General features: G+C 38.9%; 1 annotated feature.

Moving 5' to 3' along the window:
• Positions 1,139-1,339: a silencer, noted in NCBI's record as "peak1434 fragment used in MPRA reporter construct". NCBI's record gives its function as "represses an SCP1 promoter by STARR-seq MPRAs in K562 erythroleukemia cells {active_cell/tissue: K562}" and the evidence as "EXISTENCE:reporter gene assay evidence [ECO:0000049][PMID:32103011]".

Below are 23,791 nucleotides of genomic sequence, written 5' to 3' on the forward strand. Positions count from 1 at the left end.
TCGCTTTGTCGCCCAGGCTGGAGTGCAGCAGCGCGATCTGGGCTCACTGCAGGCTCCGCCCCCCAGGTTCACGCCATTCTCCTGCCTCAGCCTCTCGAGCAGCTGGGACTACAGGCGCCCGCCGCTACGCCCGGCTAATTTTTTGTATTTGTAGTAGAGACGGGGTTTCACCGTGTTAGCCAGGATGGTCTCGATCTCCTGACCTCGTGATCTGCCCGTCTCGGCCTCCCAAAGTGCTGGGATTACAGGCGTGAGCCACCGCGCCTGGCCTATTGTGTGGATTTTTAAGATATTAGTAGGGAGCTTAAATTTTGTTAGTAAATTCTTAGCTTACTACCTTGGGCTTTGCATTGCTTTTCAGAAATAAAAGTTTAAAATTACCTTAAAAAATATTGAGGGCCTGCAGACTTTGTTTATGTGGGTTGCATCTATCAATGTTTACCATACAGAAAATTAAAACTTAGTGTAACAATGTCTATTTTTAAGTAAAAACATATTGCATGTTAACATACACAATATATTTGTTAATATGTTTTCCAAAAAATTAACAAAAAGAGTGACTACGATTTTTACTTTTATGGAAAACACTTTAATATCTGGTTCATTGAAGACAGATGAATTCTTACAGGTACTTCCAGTTTCAATCCATTGAATCATGCTGCATTAGTTGCAGTCTATGAATGAGACAGTCAGGTGGGAGGGGGTGCCTGGAGAAACTCCACCCTTCACTGAGGTGGAGCCTTGGGAAGTTAACAACTTTTGCAGCAGGGAGGAGCCTGGCCCTTTCTCTTCCTGTGTGGAATCTGGGATTTAAGCTGCCAGTGGGAAGTGCTTTAGCGGAGGGACTCTGGCCTTTCAAGAATACTTGTGTCCCCCTTTTCTTCTTTTTCACCCAATAAAACCCAGCTTTACTCAAGCTATCCAGCCATCTGCAAGCCTAAAATTTTGTGGCCGTGGGATGGCCAAGGACCCTATCTTTAGCTGAAATAAGGGAAAGTCCTGCAACATTTTTGGTGCCCAACATGGGGCTGGAGAAGCTTTTAGTAAAATGAGAACTCAAAACCTCTCACGGTTGCTTCTAAGCCTTTTCATCCTCGGACTTCTGAAGATGGGGGAAACCATTCCCCCAGCCCCCATCGCTCCTGCGCCTTTTCATGGCCTTTTCTTTCCCTTTTCAAGACCAACTTGTGAGCAGCAGCTCCCCTTCACCCCGCACTCCCTGCTGGGCTTAGATTCCTGACCTAAGGCACCTGGGGCTGCTGGCTGGTGCTTTCCCCTGTGAACCGCTAGAGCCTTCTCCTTCCGTGGCCAAGAGATTCAGCTCCATCAGACAGTAATTAAACTTTTCTCCCTGGTGGAGGAATGACTTGCATAAGAATAAGAGGTTTTTCCCCAGGCATTTTTAAACTTTTTTTTTCTTTCCTCTTCTTCACCCTGTCAACAGTTAACCTTTAAAGTTTTTCCCCTTTACTAAGCCAGGCCCCCCACCTATCACCGTTTATATGTTCTGTAAAGCTTTAATTGTAAAAAAGGATTTGCGGGGCTGGTCTTGGGTTGCGGCCAATCTGGTGTGGTTTGCATGTCTGTATGGTTTCTAACAAACTTCTAAGCCTCCATCTTGTTTTGCATCCTGGGAGCATGGCTTGTAACTCCCGGTGAGGTGGCAAGACTTGGTTTAGCAATCCTCCTTTACGGAATAAGTTTCTTTCTGTTTGATATCTGCATGTTCTCTTAGCCCTGTCGCTTAAAGGGCCCCACCCAGTGAATGGGTTTTCTTCTGCCTGTCTGTGTGTGTACTGTGTGTGATGTCTGTAAAATGAGTTCTAATTAATTTGGCCTAAAGAAAAGTGCTTGGATCAAGTATTTTCTTTAAGGAAAGATAAAAGCTGCAGTACCTTTCAGTTCACCTGACTTTAATCTTTGAGAAATAAAATAGCCTTAAAGAGTATTGGTAAAATGCAGATGTCACTAAAATGTAAATAGTGGGCTTAATTATGCAGGTCAGAGCCCAGGTTTTCTAAATGTTTTAAGGTTACAAACTCCTTTTTGGATTTTGAGAACTCTGACTTGCTGGCTTCACAAATAGTAAGGCCTGAAGACATAGGAAACTAGCCACACTCTTAAGAAGGCAAATCTTGGCTGCAGTTAGCACACAATTAAAGCAACTTACCAAGTTTTACCTTAAAGTTAAAAATTGCTAGGAGTTAATTGAATCTATGAGAAACAGATTTGCATGCAAGGTGTATAAAAACAGTAAAATGTGTTTTTTAGTAAAAGGTTATAAGAAGGCATGGAAAATAAACTTTTACCTAGGGTTAAAGGATGGTTTTGAGTTAAATCAGGAAAAAGCTGAAGGTTCAAAGAAGTGGTGGAAGAATTGTGGGAATCTTGCAGAAGAGGTTCTCTGTGTGAACATATTGACTAAATTCAGAAAAGGGTATTATGTGGTTTTCTGGTAAATTGAGCGTTGAAATAAAAGCACAACAAGGTATTCTTAAAACTCTAATCTGCTCTTTGGCATAATTTATAAAGGGTTATAAAAGGTTTTTGCTTCTTTAAAATGTCTGAGTCGTCATTTTGGCAAAATAAATAATGTATGGTAATCTGGAATTATATATCATAATATCAAGTGATTCTCAAAATCAAACTTCAGTTTCAACATTGTCTTCCCTGGCATCTGGCTTTTCTAATACTTCAGAGGGCCCCTGAAGTGTTTAGAAAAGAGAGGTAAACAAGATTATTTGACATGTTTAGGTACATGGGATTGCCAAAATGATGTTTCAATCTGCTTTAGGTTATATCTTGATGAATAATGCTGATATATGTTCCAAAATTGTGTGGGATTTCTAAAGCTCTAATCTCTGAATATATGCTATCAATCATAATTAAGGTTTTCGTTATGTTGTTGTAAACCATGGAGATGACCCAGCTTCTTTGTCAATTGTGTTTCTAACTGTAATTACCCTGGACATGTTGCTCTTATTTTAATTCTTTTCAAAACATGGTATGTAATAAGCTGTAGAACTTTAACAGGTACTCTGAAATACAGACTTCTGATAACTTTGGAGATTGTAACTTTTTAATAAATGAAAATGTACAGGACTAAAAAAAAGCTCAAATGTTCACAAATGTCAAGCAAAATAAGTTTAAATGGACTGAACTCAGAAAGCTGAAGCAATCTCTTTAAACTTTGCTTGTAATATTGCTTATCCTTGTTTTTTAGCATCAAAGAAACTTATTTTCAACTATTTATGACCTTTAATAATTAAGCAAGTTATAATCCTGTAATCAAAATTTGGGGCATGTTTGTTTCTCTCTGCCTGGTTCCTCCAGAATTTAGAACCTATCTGTGAGTATTCTTAATTTTATGGTAATATAGGTCTTTGCATCAGTGCAATAAGTATCTGTTTTTCTTTTGCAACAGGACACAATTGGGGAAAATGGTTATTTTACCAAGGCTTTGACTGGAAGGGTATGCTTCCCTTTGGGGAGTCAATCTCAACTTGCAGAACCAATAAAAAGCCAATGGGGAAACTGGCCTCATACTCTCATCTACACAATCCCTGTACAGGGTTCCTGTCCTGTGGTCAGTAAATAATGTCACTTTCTGTCTTTCTTTTTTTTTTTTTTTTTCTGAGACAGAGTCTTACTCTGTTGCCCAGGCTGGAGTGCAGTGGTGCGATCTCCGCTCACTTTCTAACAGGTCTAGGAGCTCCAAGTTTATCTTGGGACCTTAAAAGGAGAGAATCACCCAACTCACAGGTGTTTGAGAATAGAAACCCATGGTTAGGCTCAGCTTTAAAGGGTCTTATCTGATATTCTTTATGGGACAAACTTCCATCAAAGCCAATCGAAAAGGCCTATGTAGAAATAGTTACTCTTGCTACATTTTATACCAATAACCAGGCCAAGTATAAGACTAAAGTCTGTTTTGCAAACAACTCAGTCTTATGATGATTTTTTTTTTAAACAAAAATCAGGACTTGAGAGAAAAACTGTTTCAAAACTTATACATTTGTCATTAATTTTTGTTTATTTATCTTTTTTGAGATGCAGTTTTACTCTTATTGCCCAGGCTGGAGTACAATGGTGCAATCTCGGCTCACTGCAACCTCCGCCTCCCAGGTTCAAGTGATTCTCCTGCCTCAGCCTCCCAAGTAGCTGGGATTACAGGCATGTTCAACCACGCCCAGCTGATTTTGTATTTTTAGTAAAGACAGGGTTTCTCCATGTTGGTGAGGCTGGTCTCGAACTCCCAACCTCAGGTGATCTGCCCACCTCAGCCTCCCAAAGTGCTGGGATTATAGGTGTGAGCCACCACGCCTGGCCGTCATTAAATTTTAAACTCACTAGTTAAGTTTTTGCCTACATTTTAGATGAACCCTGCTTGTTCCTGTGAGCCAACCAGCAGTCTCTGGCTGCAACTCAGAAAGAACAAGAGGGATGTGTAATGTAAAAATCTGGATTAATATTCTAGTTCTGAGCGATTATCCTGCACATCCTGCCAGGTGATGGTGTGTCCAGAATTGGTGGGTTCTTGGTCTCACTGACTTAAAAATGAAGCCGCAGACCCTCGCGGTGAGTGTTACAGTTCTTAAAGGCGGCGTGTCTGGAGTTTGTTCCTTCTGATGTCCAGATGTGTTTGGAGTTTCTTCCTTCTGGTGGGTTCGTGGTCTTGCTGGCTCAGGAGTGAAGCTGCAGACCTTCGCAGTGAGTGTTACAGCTCTTAAGGCGGCACGTCTGGAGTTGTTTGTTCCTCCCGGTGGGCTCGTGGTCTCGCTGGCTTCAGGAGTGAAGCTGCAGACCTTCGCAGTGAGTGTTACAGCTCATAAAGGCAGTGTGGACCCAAAGAGTGAGCAGTAGCAAGATCTATTGCAAAGAGCGAAAGAACAAAGCTTCCACAGTGTGGAAGGGGACCCGAGCTGGTTGCCACTGCTGGCTGGGGCAGCCTGCTTTTATTCTCTTATCTGGCCCCACCCACATCCTGCTGATTGGTAGAGCTGAGTGGTCTGTTTTGAGAGGGTGCTGATTGGTGCGTTTACAATCCCTGAGCTAGACGCAAAGGTTCTCCACGTCCCCACTAGATTAACTAGATACAGAGTGTCGACACAAAGGTTCTCCAAGGCCCCACCAGAGTAGCTAGATACAGAGTGTCGATTGGTGGATTCACAATCCCTGAGCTAGACACAGGGTGCTGATTGGTGTGTTTACAAACCTTGAGCTAGCTACAAAGTGCCAATTGGTGTATTTACAATCCCTGAGCTAGACATAAAAGGTTCTCCAAGGCCCCACCAGAGTAGCTAGATACAGAGTGTCGATTGGTGCACTCACAAACCCTGAGCTAGACCCAGGGTGCTGATTGGTGTGCTTACAAACCTTGAGCTGGATACAGAGTGCCGATTGGTGTATTTACAATCCCTGAGCTAGACATAAAGGTTCTCCACGTCCCCACCAGACTCAGGAGCCCAGCTGGCTTCACCCAGTGGATCCCGCACCGGGGCTGCAGGTGGAGCTGCCTGCCAGTCCCGGTGCTTTGTGCCCGTACTCCTCAGCCTTTGGGTGGTCGGTGGGACTGGGCGCTGTGGAGCAGGGGGTGGTGCTCATCGGGGAGGCTCAGGCCGCACAGGAGCCCATGGAGGGGGTGGGAGGCTCAGGCATGGCGGGCTGCAGGTCCCCAGCCCTGCCCCGCGGGGAAGGCAGCTAAGGCCCGGTGAGAAATCGAGCGCAGCGCAGGTGGTCTGGCACTGCTGGGGGACCCAGTACACCCTCCACAGCTGCTGGCCCAGGTGCTAAGCCCCTCATTGCCTGGGGCTGGCAGGGCCGGCCGGCTGCTCTGAGTGCGGGCCCGCCAAGCGCAGGCCCACCCCGAACTCCAGCTGGCCTGCAAGCCCTGCACGCAGCCCCGGTTCCCACTCGCGCCTCTCCCTCCACACCTCCCTGCGAGCTGAGGGAGCCGGCTCTGTCCTTGACCAGCCCAGAAAGAGGCTCCCACAGTGCAGTGGTGGGCTGAAGGGCTCCTCAAGTGCCGCCAAAGTGGGAGCCCAGGCAGAGGGGGTGCTGAGAGCGAGCGAGGGCTGTGAGGACTGCCAGCACGCTGTCACCTCTCAATGGGAATAAATTGGGTGCCTTTCTGGGAAAGTAGGTTTCCTTTTTGGGAAAGTAAAACGAAGGGAACTAACCAAAGACGAGTACCATGTAACCAAATCCTAGCAAGCATAACTATAGCCACCAGTTAGCTGGGTGTGTCACAAGACATCCTTTTCTCTCCCTTGTTAGAGGAGAATTCAGTTCCACGGTTTCATCTTAGTATTTGGCTTATGATAAGCCATCTGTGCAACCCCCCTGAGACATATCTTTGTCCAAAACTGAATTCCAAGCTTTGGATCAAAGCCCTAGGAAAAAAAACTAGATCTGAGGAATCCAGAGGCAAATGTCAACAGAAGTTAAAAGGCACAGGACAGGTGAGCGTGGCTGGTTCTTGCCTATTAAGCCAAGCCCAAGCTTCCTGTTTCATGGATAAAGGCCACGCTAGTATCCATGGTATAAATGGGGTCTAGGAAACTCCAAGGCTACTGACAGTAGGTGGAAGGAGATTTAGGTGAGAGCTGGTAATGCCTAGTCTCTAGGCCCCCATGTTTGATGGGTACAAGCTGCTTTGGCACTCACGGTGGTACCTGCCAAGGTCACTGGGACTCGGGGATGCAAGGACAGAAGAAGGGAAAGAGGATGCTCTTTCCCCTCTCTGTCATGTACCCCCCAGGTATCTGCTAGGAAGAGAAGGGAACCAGGGATGTCTGCTCCTCTCTTTCTGTATGAGTAGCCATTCATCTTCACTCTGTACTCCTTTAGAATGCATCCAGGACCCCTGGGACTCCTTTGAAAAAACACCTTGTTTTTTTCCTTTCTTCTCCTCTGTCCTCTCTTCACTGATGGCAATTATGTGTCTGTACTAACAGGACACTCTCCTCAGATGCATTCTCCAAACTAGACGGAGTTAATTTCCCAAACCTTAAACTGGCTGGCTTAGGATTGGGCTCAGGGGAAGGGACTCCCAGAAGTCCAACATGCTAGCAAAAGGGTAAAGTTTTTTCATCCAGGTGGGATTTTGCCCTCCCTTCTCCCTGTGCAAACTGGTAAAAGACCTCAGAATTTTTGAGCTGTCCTTACCCCTGCCTTTGTTGCATTTTGATACATGTTTTCTAGTGACCTGGTTTGACTGTTCTTTACTTCAGGCCATCAAACTCCAAATGGTCATGCAACCAGAGCCTCTGACGATGGCCTCTTCTGCTGGGCCTCTGAGGGAGCTCTGACTGCCATTTCCCCAAAACAGTGCCCCCTGTCAGCAGGAAGCAGTTAATATGGTCTTCATCCTTATCCTTAATCTAAAGGCAGTTAGATATACTTCTTCACAGTGGGCATTGAGAGAGCCAGGTGGGAGGGGATCCCTGGAGAAACTCCAACCAGCCTGCCCACTGAGGTGGAGCCTCGGGAAGTTTACAGCATTTACAGTGGGGAGGAGCCTGGCCCTTTCTCTTCCTGTGTGGAATCTTGGATTGAAACTGCAGGCGGAAAATGCTCTAGCAGAGACACTCTGGCCTTGTGAGAGTCCCTGTTTCCATGTTTTCTTCTTTTTCACCCAACAGAACCCTGCTTTACTCACCCCCTCCAATTGTCTGTGAGCCTAAATTTTCATGGCTGTGGGATGGACAAGGACCCTGTCTTTAGCTGACCTAAGGGAAAGTCCTGCAACATGAAAAAAAAAATCCAGACACACAGATACATAGTTAAAAAATAAATACATATTTTGATAGCCTTTTTTAGAACATGATGGATGTTACACTTTTATACTACACCAAAATTCAACAACTTTCTCAGTAGTGCTTTCTTAAAAATTAGGTAAGATGTGGAATCTGATATCTGAAATTCTTGTACTATGTCTTAGGAAACTGTCAAATTCATTATGACAAAGATAATTTTTCCAAATTACAGCTTTTTCTCAGAAGCTGGAATTTTATCCTTAGTCATTGTCAGTTTTTGTGTGTGGGAAATGACAGGTTTACTTCATTTGTTCTCAAGAACATTTTAGCTGATTACCCAAATCTGAATAATTGTTTGACTCTCAGTCATTATTTCAAATAAAAATGATATTGCATGAAAAAAGCAGCTAGTTCATTTCACAACTCAAAACAATCATACAAGTTCTTTATTGGGGAATAATATTGTACTCTGGCTTGCAGCAGATGTGCTTCCTGTACACTATCCATTTTTCCCGCAGAATGTTAAAAGTTAAGTGCTAAAGAGGCAGTAGTTGACGTGATACATTTTTCTTGCTTTATCAGTGTATGCAACTTATAAGTAGCTTTTGTTTGGTTAGCTAGCAGTTTATTGATTTATTGCTTATTGATACTATTTTTACTGTTAAGTGTGTAGAGGTAAGGAGTGCAGTGATCATATAGTTTGATGCTACTGCCTAAGGCACCAATCATTTTTCCACCATTGCTTTTGTACAATTAGTGTAAATACTAGTACAGTGAGAAAGACAAATAATGTGTTAGTGTTATTATGAAAATTGTTGTGACAAAACAGTTCCCTGAAAGTTTCTCTGAAATGCCTAGAAGTCTGGAGAACGTACTTCGAAAACCACATGTCTAGTGGAACCATATTAAGTTATCTTTGAAAAAAAAAAAAGCATATTGAAGAAATAGTCACTTTGACTAAATGCTAGGAAGTTTACGCTACTACCAGAAAGGAGATAGTGTAGTAGATGATGTATTTATCGTGTGAAAACGTAGTTCTGATTTCCAGCCATGTAACAGTATCTCTAGGTATATAGGTCAGTAACCCTGTTTTTGCTTTTCCTTCATCACTAAAATCTTTTGTGTGAGTGTAAGAATAAAATGAAAGTACACACAAATGCATGCATACACACACAATGCCTGGAATAAATAACAATTTATACTATTTTTTTGTTGCAAACAAGGCATACGATGACTAGTATAATACAACTTTTGATCCTTTTACCCCACATTTAGTAAGATTAATTATAAATGAATGTAGTAGCTTGCAGTAAAAGAGCCAATTTTAACATATGGGCCTTGACAGGTGATTCATTCTAAAGACAATAGCACTGGAAAATTAGTGCAGATAACATTATATCATTCAACTGTTAGGAAAAAATACTATCGTATTTCATCGTTGACTATCCTTTTTGGGCATCACCATTTCAATCACTGACTTTCATGTGTGAGTCACTGTGACCTAAGTCAGAGTAAAATGTCACAGGAGTTGGGAGAGAGAGCTAATTAGCAAGTCTGTGACACCACAAAAGAGTAATGAAAGAAATGGGCACTTGTTTCTTATTTTAGGAAAGTATTCTTCACATATAAAAATGACTCAACTGTTGCAAAAATTCAAGAAAAATTGAATTTTTATCTTTGTCCTACATAAGAACCTAAAGTGTGAAAATGAGAATAGTACAGATATATCAAGATCAGGCTTCCATTCTGTTTAGAACTATTTCAGTTGCTATTAGAATTGAAAGAAGAATGTAGAAGACAAAGAATATTTGAAGCTGTCGTGAAAAGGCCATTAACTTTGGAGTCAGATAGGCTGGATTTACGTTTCAGCCCTGTTAATCTAAGTATAACTGTAGACAGTTCCTTCACTTCCTTGAAACCTGATTTCCTCAATTGTAAAAGGATTATAATTACCACATGGCAATTCTGAAGAATTAATGAAATAAATTACTTAAAGTGCATAATATGCCTACACAAAATGAATGTTCACTAAATAGTAACTTATTTTCTGCTTATTGTATAATTAAGTTGATGGGAAATTCAGTTTTGTCATTATAAGTTGTGTAATTATTAAGTTGATAGAAAGTTTATCCTTTTTTAATGTATAACCCAGCCTGTCCCTGTTTATTCTCTCACAAAGTTGATTATGGAATATGAGGTTTTCAACACTACTTAAAAGGGGTAGTTGATTAGGTCAATTCAACCAACATATATCTCATTTAAGGAGCTCAAAAATTCAATAGTAAAAGCAGTTGTTTTCTTCTCTACAGATGGATGGAAATACAGAACTGAGTTCTTTTTAAGATAGTTCTTAGTATTTAAGAAAACTTAGCAAGGTAATGATCATGATTTTGAATATAGTAAATGGTGTCAACCAAAGCAGCAAGAAAACACCACCAGATTTTCTATTGCAACCTATTTGACCCCACCAGTTTCACTTCCAATTATTGTTCCTACTCTGCTCTTCATTTTCATATATTCCATAGTTTTATTACTATTTTTATGCTACATATAATTTACTAATATATATGTTTATTGATGAAACTATTCTTGCTAGAATGTAACTTCTTTAAGAAAGAGATCTTAGGGATTTTGTTTCTTGATACACTGTGAGAGGAGCATCTGACTCATGATGAGTTCTCAGTAAATGATTTGTGAGTGAAGGTTTTGAATGAAATGGATAGTAAAAACAGTATGGAATAAGATTATTGCTTCATGCCTATTCTCTTTTAAGAACGTTATTTACTATTATAAAAATAACTTTATATTTTTACAAAAATAATAAAAGCTACACTGTATTGCACATTAAACTAAGCACAATTTACAGAACACAAAATCTGTACTAGGCACTATGCTTAAGACGTATCAGGTTTTCTTATATAGAGGCTACATGAGGGTATTAGAGTAAATCTGTAATATAAATACTTGTAAAGGCTCATTCTTTCTATTTTATTTAGAATAGCAGAAATAGAATTTATTCCTACTCCTCAGTGGAATAAAATTGGGGAATGTGTGCCACACTTTGGAGAGACCACTTATATAGGAGACTAAACTTTCCACACCTACATTATATGTGGAAAAAATACTTGTATAGCCTAGAATCACTTTTGTATAGATCAGGCAACTATCGTCACTCTACTTTTGGAAGAGAATCTAAAAAGTAATGTTGAAACTAAATTAATCTGAAAATTTTACATTACGGTAGGTATCATTCAAGTTGTAATTAGGGCTCAATATAATGTTGTCTACTAGATTTGATCTCTATCCCACCTCAAGGTGACGATATATACATCAAGATGCAGTACCTGTCCTAGCGAAGTTCTCATCACCTAGTGCCTGTCCTGTTCTATAATATTCTGAAAAGATTTTGGCTTCATATTATGTATTAATTCTGCAAATACATACTGAATGTCTATTCAATGGTCTGTTTGGAAATCAAAGTGTTACCGAACAACCAAGGGTTTGTTCTAGGTCCTGCTGCTCACTGCAGAGAAAGCCAACGGCTGAGAAGGCAAGTATTGCCAAGGAAGAAGGCTTTAATCAGGTGCTGCAGCTGAGCAAATGGGAGCTCAGTCTCAGATCCTTCTCCCCACCAACTAATATTAGGTGTTAATATAGTAGGGAAGAAATGTAACAATGTGTAGGAAAACAGGAACTCTGGAGGCCTAAGGAAGCAATCATGATGAATGATGGGCCTGGTGTCTCATCTGGATGAGATGATCTGGTGAGTTTCAGTTCTTTGATACTTTTTGAGAGACTTGGGGGTCCTTTCCTGAGGAAGAAACTCAGATAAAATAAATATAAATTTCAAGCCTTAAGACCAGAAGGGTCGGTTTCTATGTCTACACACACACACAAAAATCTGTCTATGGGACTATTGGGTCAGTTTCTTTTTATTTATTTATTTATTTATTTATTTTATTATTTATTTATTTTTTTTAGTATTTATTGATCATTCTTGGGTGTTTCTCGGAGAGGGGGATTTGGCAGGGTCATAGGACAATAATGGAGGGAAGGTCAGCAGATAAACATGTGAACAAAGGTCTCTGGTTTTCCTAGGCAGAGGGCCCTGCCGCCTTCTGCAGTGTTTGTGTCCCTGGGTACTTGAGATTAGGGAGTGGTGATGACTCTTAAAGAGCATGCTGCCTTCAAGCATCTGTTTAACAAAGCACATCTTGCACTGCCCTTAATCCATTTAACCCTGAGTGGACACAGCACATGTTTCAGAGAGCACGGGGTTGGGGGTAAGGTTATAGATTAACAACATCCCAAGGCAGAAGAATTTTTCTTAGTACAGAACAAAATGGAGTCTCCTACGTCTACTTCCCTCTACACAGACACAGCAACAATCTGATTTCTCTGTCTTTTCCCCACATTTCCCCTTTTTCTAGTCAACAAAACCGCCATCGTCATCATGGCCCGTTCTAAATGAGCTGTTGGGTACACCTCCCGGACGGGGCGGCTGCCGGGCGGAGGGGCTCCTCACTTCACAGACGGGGTGGCCGGGCAGAGGCGCTCCTCACATCCCAGATGGGGCAGTGGGGCAGAGGCGCTCCCCACATCTCAGACGATGGGCGGCCGGGCAGAGACGCTCCTCACTTCCTAGACGGGATGCGGCCGGGAAGAGGCGCTCCTCACTTCCCAGACTGGGCAGCCAGGCAGAGACGCTCCTCACTTCCCAGACGGGGTGGCGGCCGGGCAGAGGCTGCAATCTCGGCACTTTGGGAGGCCAAGGCAGGCGGCTGGGAGGTGGAGGTTGTAGCGAGCCGAGATCACGCCACTGCACTCCAGCCTGGGCAACATTGAGCACTGAGTGAGTGAGACTCCGTTTGCAATCCCGGCACCTCAGGAGGCTGAGGCTGGCAGATCACTCCCAGTTAGGAGCTGGAGACCAGCCCGGCCAACACAGCGAAACCCTGTCTCCACCAAAAAAATACGAAAACCAGTCAGGCGTGGCGGCGCGCGCCTGCAATCCCAGGCACTCGGCAGGCTGAGGCAGGAGAATCAGGCAGGGAGGTTGCAGTGAGCCAAGATGGTGGCAGCACAGTCCAGCCTCGGCTCGGCATCAGAGGGAGACCGTGGAGGGAGAGGGAGAGGGCAAGGGAGACCATGGGGAAGAGGGAGGGGAAGGGGGAGGGGGAGGGAGAGGGAGAGGGAGAGCTTGGGTCAGTTTCAAAGGGAAAAATAATATTCTTAACTTCTGGGAGCTTGAATTCTACTGGACAAACAACCGTAAAACATCAGCAATGATGTAAGATAATTGCTGTGATAGAAGATGATGTACAAGCACAGACACTTCAAACAGGGGAAGTAAGCAATATTTTAGGAAGAGATCCATTCAGAGCAGAGATTCAAGTGACAAAGTGTTTTCAGATTTCCAGAAATTCTAGTGAGGGGAAAGCATTTCAAATGGAGGAGGCAGTGTGTAACCAGGTATACAAATACATACAAATAGACAACCGCAAAGTATATATGTAGTTTTGTCATGTGTGACAAAGTGGAGGATGAACTGGGGTAGTGAAGTAGGGGTCAGACTATGAAGGGAAAACAGATTGAAAGTGTCTCAACAGATTCCACTGGCTTCTCTGATATTGCCTAAGTACAAGAAAACCTGACAAGACTCTATAATCAAAGTCACTGAGCTGTTAGAAGTGTTTTTTTTTCACATGTTCTGTTAAGAGTTCAGTCATTTTAAGCCAAGTTTAGATTGAATTAATTTATTTTGGGAAATGAAGCTCTGCTAATTAGGTTTAGCCCTCAGGCCTATGGCAAGTTGTCAATATGGATTTTGGTGTAGAAAGCAAGGGCCTCCTTATTCTACTAACCTATGGGAAATCATGCCTTAACTGCTGAATTGCAGAAAAGTTACCCAAAGCCTCTACCAGCCTTTGGTGGACAATTAGCAAGAAGGGAACTGTGATAAAACAAGCAGATTTTATAACATGCTAACAATTTACAATTCCAGGTGTTTTTCTATAAGCAAGAATCTCAGAATATGTTTAAGCCATAGAGAAAACATTTTAGCAAAATTGTCAATGTACTCAGAGTTTTAAAACATGGTTTTTAAATTTTAAAAATATTGTATAACAAATGTGTGAATTCACTGTAAAAATTATTTTAACATATGTGTGGGACGTTCTACTAAAATATGGATAGGTATTAACTACGTACTTTGCATCCTTAAAAACGGTTTATAACATTCTGAAATAAAAGCTGTGTCCATGTAACTCAAATGCAGATGTCAGGAACTATCTTCCCTCTTTGTCCTCTTTCAACCAGGTGTTTTTAATTAAGCTGTACACTTCAATCAAGTCATTCTTGGATATTGGCCAGTTGTCTTTCCAAGAAGAAACTGATGTATGAAACTCTGTGGCCTTAGTTATACATATTCCATTGTCTTTGAGGCCTAAAACGTATTCCCACAATTCTTGAAGATGACTTGGTCCTAGAGTGTTTACACACAGTTTTACCACTATATTAGGTCCTTCCTGGTTTGTGTATTTCTAGGTTTTGACCCATTGATATGGTTTGGCTCTGTGTCCCCACCCAAATTTCATGTTGAATTGTAATCTTCAGTGTTAGAGCAGGGACCTGCTGGGAGGTGATTAAATCATGGGGATGAATTTGTTTATATTTCATCCTGAATTTCTCATACTGTCCTAGCCATGTGGTATTTATAACTTACTTTATTTATTTATTTGTTTATTTATTTTGAGACGGAGTCTCACTCTTCCACCCAGGGGGGAGTGCAGTGGCGTGATCTCGGCTCACTGCAAGCTCTCCCGGGTTCGTGCCATTCTCCTGCCTCAGCCTCCGGAGTAGCTGGGACTACAGGCTGGGACTACAGGTGCCCGCCACCGGGCCCAGCTAATTTTTTGTATTTTTAGTAGAGATGGGGTGTCACCCTGTTAGCCAGGATGGTCTCCATCCCCTGACCTCGTGATCCGCCCGCCTCGGCCTCCCAAAGTGCTGGGATTACAGGCATGAGCTTTTTTTTTCTTTTTTTTAATAACTGTGGGGTGCTTCCTGACTTCAGAGAATTTCCAGGTGACCTTAGCCAGCTGTCCCTATGCTAGGTTAGCATACCAGGCTTTCTTAGGTTTGTCTATTTGGTTTTCCACCTAAGGGTAGTATTGAAGAGCAGTAAGTCCAGATTTATATATAAATCAGATTTGATATAAATCAACTTAAGCAAAGGTCATTAAATAAATCACCTGGAACACTTAAGAAAATTGTTCAATAGTTTGTGGGTCAAGCTGTGAGGAAGGCTCCACTGGCCATTATTTTGTCTTATTCATGTAGAGACAGCTGGAGCTGGATAATTTTCTTCTAATGGCTTACTTGGCCCTTTAGCCTTTTTTTTTTCTCTTGGCATAGCATCTCATTCTTCAGGGCCTTTCCAGATGGCTTGGCTTTACACAGCATGGAGGTCTCAGGTGTCTAACTTTAAATATGACAGGAATGTTCCATGTCGCCTATGCAGAGGCTGCAAGGTTTCTGTAAACTAACCTTGAAAATGGCAATTGAACATGCATTTGTTGGTTTCTAAGGCCAGCCCAGATTCGAGGGAACAAAGATACATTGTTGATATCTAGATGGAGAAATGACATAGACATGCTAACAATAAAAAATAAATGATGTCTGATGAGCAGTCTAAAGATGAGAAAATAAGTTGGTGGAAAAAAAGCTGTGTAAACTACTTTGTTGGGGACCTTGACTATTAAAGAACAAAATATGAAACAATAATAACTAAAAGATGTTGTTGGCTTGAGGGAGGCTTTTCGTTTGTTATCCTCTCGTTGATTGTTTACATAGAAGATTCTGGGAAGTCTCAAGGCATAAGAAGTATAAAACTTGATAGCTAGTATAGTATGAAGAAATGAAAGAACAAATAAAACATGGAATAATAGAAGAATTAATGTTTTTGAGTATAAAATAGTTCATGTAAATAACAGATGTTTTCAAATTCAAAAGACCCAGGATAGCCAATGCAATATTAGAAGGACAAAGTTAGAGGATTGACACTGACTTTAAAGCTTACTGTAAAGCTCTAGTAATCAAAACAGTGTGGTATTGGTGAAAGAATAGACAAATAGATTAATAGAACAGGACAGACAGCCCAATAGATAAATATAAATGTTGTCAACTAATATTTCACAATGGAGCAAAGGCAATTCAATGAAGAAAGGGTAGTCTTTTCAATAAATGTTGGAACCACTGGACATTCACATGGAAAAAAATAAATATAGACCAGGACCTTACAGCTTTTATGAAAACTACTTCAAAATGGATAATAGACCCAAATGAAAAATGCAAAACTATATGTTTTATCCAAAAAAAAAAAAAAACACACAGAAGAAACACTGGATGATCTTGTGTTTAGTGATGACTTTTTAAAAATAACACCAAAGCACAAAGCATACAAAATTGGTAAATTGGATTTATAAATTAAACAATATTAAAAACTTTTCTGGGAAAGACACTGTTAATATAATGAACAGATAAACCACAGAGTAAGAAAAATCTTTGCAAAACCCATTGAATTTACAATACAAAAAGTAAATCCCAGTGTAAACTACAAACTTTAGTCAATAATAATGTATGTTAACAGCTTATAAATTCTAAAAATGTGTAAACTAATGCAAGATGTTAATAATAAGGAAAGTACTTTGGAGTCAGTAAGGAATTATATGGCTGCTTTATGGTTTCTGCTCAATTTTTCTGCAAACTTACAAGTACTACTAGAAGTAAAGATTATTATTTATATTGAAATCTCTAGCAAACTTATTTGCCCAACTGATTGGAAATTATAGTTTACTTCTGAATAACCCATTGATGAAATAAGAAATCAACCTGGCATTTTGAAAATGTTTGAACCAGAATAAAATAAAAGTTGACATGTTAACACTTTATCAATGAGGCCAAAACAGTGCTTAGAGAGAAATATATATCTATGACTTTATATAGTAAAAAGGAAAAGTACAAATAAATTATCTAAACTTTCATATGAAGAATCTTAAATTTAAAACTAAAGAAAGTGATAATAAAAATGATAAACAGAATAAAGAAATAGCAAAATAGAATTCACACCCACATTTAAAAAATCAAATTACTTTTTAAAATGTTTATTGTTTTAGAATTTAAAAAATGTAATTTATCAAGATTTATCAATATACAAAACAAGAGTCTTATAATTGACACAGAGAAACACAGTACAGAGAGTTAAGAGGTTGATGAAATACAGATACACAGACCAGCAGAATCTAAGCTTTTTGTTTTTTTTTTTTCCCCGAGACAGAGTCTCACTCTGTTGCCCAGGCTGGAGTGCATTTGCACGACCTTGGCTCACTGCAACCTCCGCCTCCTGGGTTCGAGTGATTCTCGTGTTTCAGCCTCCTGAGTAGATGGAATTACAGGTACCCTCCACCACACCTGGCTAATTTTTGTATTTTTAGTACAGATGGGGTTTTGCCATGTTGGCCAGGCTGGTCTTGAGCTCCTGACCTGCCTCAGCCTCTCAAAGTGCTGTGATTACAGGTTCGAGCCGCTGTACCCAGCCCTATGTTATTTTTATACACAGGCGTGGAGGACTCCAGTGGATAGCAGCAGGGCAGCACTTCTGAGAAAATCACCTGAATCAACTTGTGTTTATCTTTGTATGTCATAGGCAACAAATTCAATTACAGTGATTTAATCAAAAGTGGGTTAACGTTTAAAACTAATAATAAAATAAAATAAATAAACCTTAGCAGCTGTCTTTGCCTGGCATTATTATCCTTAGAGAGAACTATCTAACAACAAAGAAAGTTGTATTGGGATATGGCTATTAGATGTAATTCTACTTTTTATATGCTGAAACACCTGCTTGAAAAGAAGCAGTTTCTGATTTGAGTTTTTTTTTTTTCCACCAAAGATATAAACAACAGCTTGTTAATTCCCTTCTGTAGAAACCAGAAACGTGCCTAAGAAGCCTGTTCCCGTCATTTTGTCCTGTTAAAATTTTAATGAAATAAAATCTTTGCCACTATAGTTTTGCTGTAGCTAGAGGTTATTTTCTAAAAATGCATTTAAAGAAAAATTAAGCAGGATGAGAACTGAACATTTTAAAATGCCTATTAAATTTGGAAAGGAAACAAAATGCATTGAGGTTGTTGAAATAGGTGTTTCTTTCTTTGAGAGGACTAGGTTAGTACATCCCATTTTACTCTGAGCATGTGGAGGCTCTGTTCTATGATTGTTTCTGGGGGACATGCTCACCTTGATTTGAATTTTTCTTACTGTGCCATTTTGTGGTCTGACAGCTTGTTACCACAGGTATGGAATTCTTCACTAGTTCTAGGCTCTCCTCTAGGCTCATACCCTGGTATGGACTGGTAAGCCACACAAACCTTCTGCTATAGTTTGGCCCATTTCTATGCTAAACATCTCAAAGTGTTAAAATATCTCTTCTGTCTGATCCAGTTCTAAAATCCCTGTCTGAGCCCATTACAGCTTTGTGAAGACAAAGGAGCCTGGGAGACTTCTTAGGGTCCACTGATTTAAGGTACATACAATGAACTTAGTGAATAAAAACTTCAGTGAAGAGATAAAATCTAGGTAGTAATAAAAACTCATTTTGTGGCAGTTCTAAATCCAAGTCACAGAAATTACTGTAATTTCATTAAAAATTCTAATTATTATGGCTCACTATATCAAATAAATCTCACAATCAGAAGAAATGTGTCTGTAAGTGATAAATTACAAGTGGGAGATGATTTTTTAAATCAACTCTCTGAAAATGCTATTAGTGAAAAGAGAAGTTGAGACTTTTCTTTCTTTCCCTGCTAAGATTTTACTTTGATGACAGTTTGTAAAGTTGCATGGGAGGTTAAGTCACAAACTGAATTTAACTACCAAAGACTCCTGTTCTTTAAAATACCCACAACTGCACCTTTATTCACTCTTTGAAGAGAAATACCCTTGAAAATGATGGAAAACATGTAGGTACTTAAAACAATAGCAGAAACAAAGACTGTAAATACAGACAAATAAAAATCAGTGGACTCATGAGCTTTTATCGTCCTGAAAAATTATTTGCTTTGACTGTGTTTTAGCTCTTTTACCAAACATGAATTTGTTTTTAAAACTAATTTGCAGGTGTATTCCTTAATATTTGTGTTTGCATGCTTGTATGTATGTGTGTGTATGTTTGCGTGTCACTTATTGGAGGAAGTTTCTGCTGACAGTCTCAAATCTTTTTGCTAAAGTAAAGGAAGAATTTTTATAGCAAATTAATAACTTGATAATTTCAGGTCTTGCTTGATTTGAGTGAAGCAATATGAACAGTTAATGTCGTGGAATCACATCTACGTGTCTATGTTCATTTGGTTTCTAGAATACTATGACAAACTGTAGCTGCTTCATAGACAAGACACTTTCTGTCTCACACACTGCACAACCAAGCCTCCGTTTTTCTAACAGCAAAGTTTTGCTTCATGTTGCTCTATTTTTATTGTATCCACAATGAAAAGTCTTCTCGACCTTTAAAACAGGCTTCACTGAAGACAAATATCTAAGTCAGAAGGAGCTGAATCATGCTTTGTTTTACATCTGTGAGGAAACACTATAATATTTAAAAAAAATGGTACCAAAGGACAAAGGAACTTGGATACTCACGTGCCAAGAAATGTTATGCTGTTGAAAACTTTAAAAATCGTTCTTATGCCTCCTGAAAATGGTTATTCCTTTGGTGACTATGCTATAAAATATCATGGGTAGTGCCCCAGTTTTAGTTTGCTATGTGCATTTAATAGTTGGTTAGTCCATCATGCAAAGACATTTAAAGTGGGATTGAAGTAGCCACCTAAGACAGGCTACTAAAATTAGCTGAAATTATTGATGGCATCTGACCATTGTGGTTCCCAATTCTCATCAGAACATATGTTTTTACACTGTAGGTTTCAGGTTAATTATACAAATTCATTACCAATTCTGCAATAGTATTAGAGAAAGTTTACTTGAAAAATGACCAGTGGCACCATGCAGTGGTATAAATAAATAAAGAGAAAGCATAAAATGTTAAACAGACTATCATTATTACACAGCACAGAGGAAGAGAAGTCTTTACAGACAAATAGACTGAGAATTACAAAATGAAGGATATCTAATTGGGCCTAACCGGATCAGAAGATACATCAGTGAGGAGAAAATAGTCCAAAGTACTAGACATACAAAATTTAATGTTTTCTTATCTCATGAGTTAGGAAGATTTAGACTCTATTTTAGTAATGTTTAATTCAAAAAAACAGCACAAACTCCCTCAGATGATGCTACATCTAAAGAGATTATTATACAAGAGCAAACTGCAAAGAACCAGTTAATTTTCGTAATGTCAAAGTTCTGAATCAAGTCTTTTCTGAAAGTTTAATTGATTAGCTGGAAAAATTGACATTAAACCAATTAAACAGAGAGACTGAGAATACAAAGATGATAAGTGTTTCACCTCCTTAACAAATAGTTTATAGTGGATAAGGCAGTGAAAATCTTAATCTAGAAACATTGAATTGATTATAAAGGGTAGGTATTTGTGCATTAATGCTTTCCCAGTGTCTGCTGAGAAAGCATAGAGTATATAGTGCTTAGCAGTTTCCTTTCTGGAAGCACTCTGTGGATTTATTTCTCCTCCGACTTATTACAAGGTATGAAATCATAAGTAAATTATTTAACCATTTCATAGCGCCCATAGTTTTCTCACATGTAATATTTATATAGTAGTACCTATCTTTTTGGTTTATAGTCAAAATAGATGAAGCAGTAAATCTATAATACTTAGAATAGTAACTGTTCTATCATAATAACATAATAAATGTTAGCTATTACTGTGGTTTTCTAAAAAGACTCTGCACCACCTGTCACCCATCCTACTTCATAAACACCCACTTCATAAACATATTCTATTCTCTACACCATAGTTGCTAGCTAATATATATTAAGTAAAATCTTGCTGCCATTTATTTTGTGCCTTGAGTATGTCAGGTGTTTTATACACTAAGTTTTATGATTTCAATAACGCTGCAACATAGATATGTGTATGCCCATTTTAAAGATTAAGAAAAAACGAGGCACTAAAAACAATTACTTTCTTCTAGATCACACAGCTATTAAATAGCATTGTCTCTGACTGAATTAGGACTTACAAATAGGAAGTCTGAGTCCATGTATTACAATTACAACCAGCTATATGGCTTTATACAAATCATTCACATTTGTGAACCTCAGATTAATCATATAAAACAAGACTATATTTCAAGATAAAAACATTCAAAAATTAGGTATAGAAGGAATGTATCTCCCTACAAAAAAGCCCATATACAACAAACCCACAGTTAACACCATACTTAGAGAAAAAGATTTCAACTTTTCCCTAAGATCTAAAAGAAGAAAAGTATGCCCACTCTCGCCACTTTTCAAAATAGTACTGGAAATCCAAGCCAGAGCAATTAGGCACGAGGAAAAAAAAAAGCATCCAAATTGGAAAGGAAAACGTTAAGTTGCCCGTTTGCAGGAGATACTATCTTATACATAGAAATCTCTAAAAACTCTAAAAAACTATTGAAAGTAACAAACTCACTAAAAGTTCAGGATACAAAATGAACATACAAAAATCAGTATTTCTGTACACTAAAAACAATCTAAAACTTAAAAAAATTCTATTTCCAAAGGTATCAGAAAAAAAATACTTAAGAGTAAATTTAACAAACAAACCTACACATTTATGGTCAATTGATTTTTGACAGAAGTATTGAGAACACACCATGAGAAAAGGACAGTCTCTTCAGTAAATGGTGCTGGGACAACTGGATATTCACATGCAGGAGAATGAAAGAAGAGAGCATAGAAGAAAAACTCTGTAACATTTGTCTGGGCGATATTTTTTTGAATATGAACCTAAAAGCACAGGCAACAAAAGTAAAAATGGGCAAATGTACTAAATTTAACTAAAAAGCTTCTGCACAGCCAAGAAAACAGTCAACAGTGAAGAGATGACCTAACAGACTGTGATAAAATATCTGAAACCATATATCTGATAAGCAGGTAATATTAATGAAATAAAGAACTCAATAACAAGAAAATGAGTTACTTGATTATAAGGGCAAAGACATGAGTAAACATTCCTCAGAAGACATGTATGGCCAACAGATACATAAATGCTCAAAATCGCTAATTATCAGATAAATGCAAATTAAAACCATGATAAAATACCTTTTCACACCTGTTATATTTGCTGTTATCAAAAAGATGAAAGATAAGTGTTGGGTAGGATGTGTAGAAAAAGGGAACTATAGGATATTTTTGGTAAGAATGTAACAGTACTAGCATTATGGAAAATGATGTGGTGGCTCCTAAAAAAGAAACTGTAAATAGAACTACAATATAATCCAGTGATCCCACTTCTGGATACATATCCAAAGGAATTGAAATCAGTATGTCAAGGGGATATCTACATTCCCATGCTCATTGTGGCATTATTCACAATAGCCAAGATATGAGATCAACCTAAGTGTCAATGGATGAGTGGATGAAGAAAATGTGGTGTATATACAAGGAAATACTATTCAGCCTTTAAAAAGAAGAAAATCTTGTCATTTGTGACATCACACATGATCCTTCAGGACATTATCCTAAGTGAAATAAGCCAGTCATAGAAAGATAAATACTGCGTGATCTTATATGTGGAATCATAAAAAGTTGAACTAATCGAAGTGGAGAATAGAATGGTGGTTACCAGGGGCTGGGAAGTGGGAGCATGGGAACATGTTGCCCAAAACATACAAAAACTCAGTTAGACAGGAGGAATAAATTTAAAAGACCTATTGTATAACATGGTGACTATAGTTAATAACAATGTATTACATTCTTGAAAATTACTATAAGAGTACATTTCATGTGTTGTCACAATAAAAAGTGATACATATGTGAGGCAATGCATATATTAGCTTGATTTAGCCATTCAATGTAAACATATTTCAGAACAACATATTGTACTCGATAAATATATACAATTAAAAATAGGATTATTGTCAGAAAATGTATTTCAAATATGAGATAATTATAACTTGTACACTGCCTACATGAAATTTATTATAATGTTATATTGCATTATATAGTGTGTTACAATTGAATAACAATTGCATTGCCTTGTACTTCTAACATGATTCAGAAAATGAGCATGTCTTCTTAGCTCACATATTCTAGCTTAAATATTGTATCAAGTCAAATAGCAATATAAGATTGACTTTATTCACTTACCCTCCATTCAAAGTAGACACACATTTGTTGCTGTTATTTGGGGGAAAATCCATGTTTAGTAAGTGTTTATTTAACGCTTACATAGTGTTTAACATATTCCAGGCTTTGTTGTAATCATTTCACCAATATTAACTCATTTAATCCTTGTAACAATCCTGTGAGATACTGTTATTTTCCACATTTCATATAGGGAGAAAAGAGGCATAAATGGGTCAAGTAATTTGCTCAAGTTCCAATGACAAGAGAGTGGCAGAGCCAGGATTCAGATCCAGAAAGTCTTACTCCAGACTAAAAGAGTTGTCACTGTGACAACTCTGCTAGCAAAGCTCTGAGATAATGCTTTTCCAGTGGAAATAATGACATTTTTTTCAGATTTACAGCACAATTTACCTGCATACTTTCTATTGTGCCCTATCTAAGTTTTATTAAAGCCATGATGGGGGCTGAGTGCATGCCGTCATTCTATCAATATTTGCTATCAGCCATTATTGCTTCAATATTTTATTTTTTTTAGTGCAGCTTATGTCTATTTAAGGTGAAGGTAAGCCTATGAAGTTATGATGAAGCTTAACTAAGGGGCAAAGTTACTTTATAAAAACTGTTACAGGAGATAAGAAAGTCCATTATCCAATAGATTTAGTTTTGTAATCTGTCACTTGATTGAAACCACTATGCATACACCAAATGAGTCATGCTATTTTCCCACT

Source organism: Homo sapiens, chromosome 11, assembly GCF_000001405.40.
Source record: "Homo sapiens chromosome 11, GRCh38.p14 Primary Assembly".
Lineage (NCBI taxonomy): Eukaryota > Metazoa > Chordata > Mammalia > Primates > Hominidae > Homo > Homo sapiens.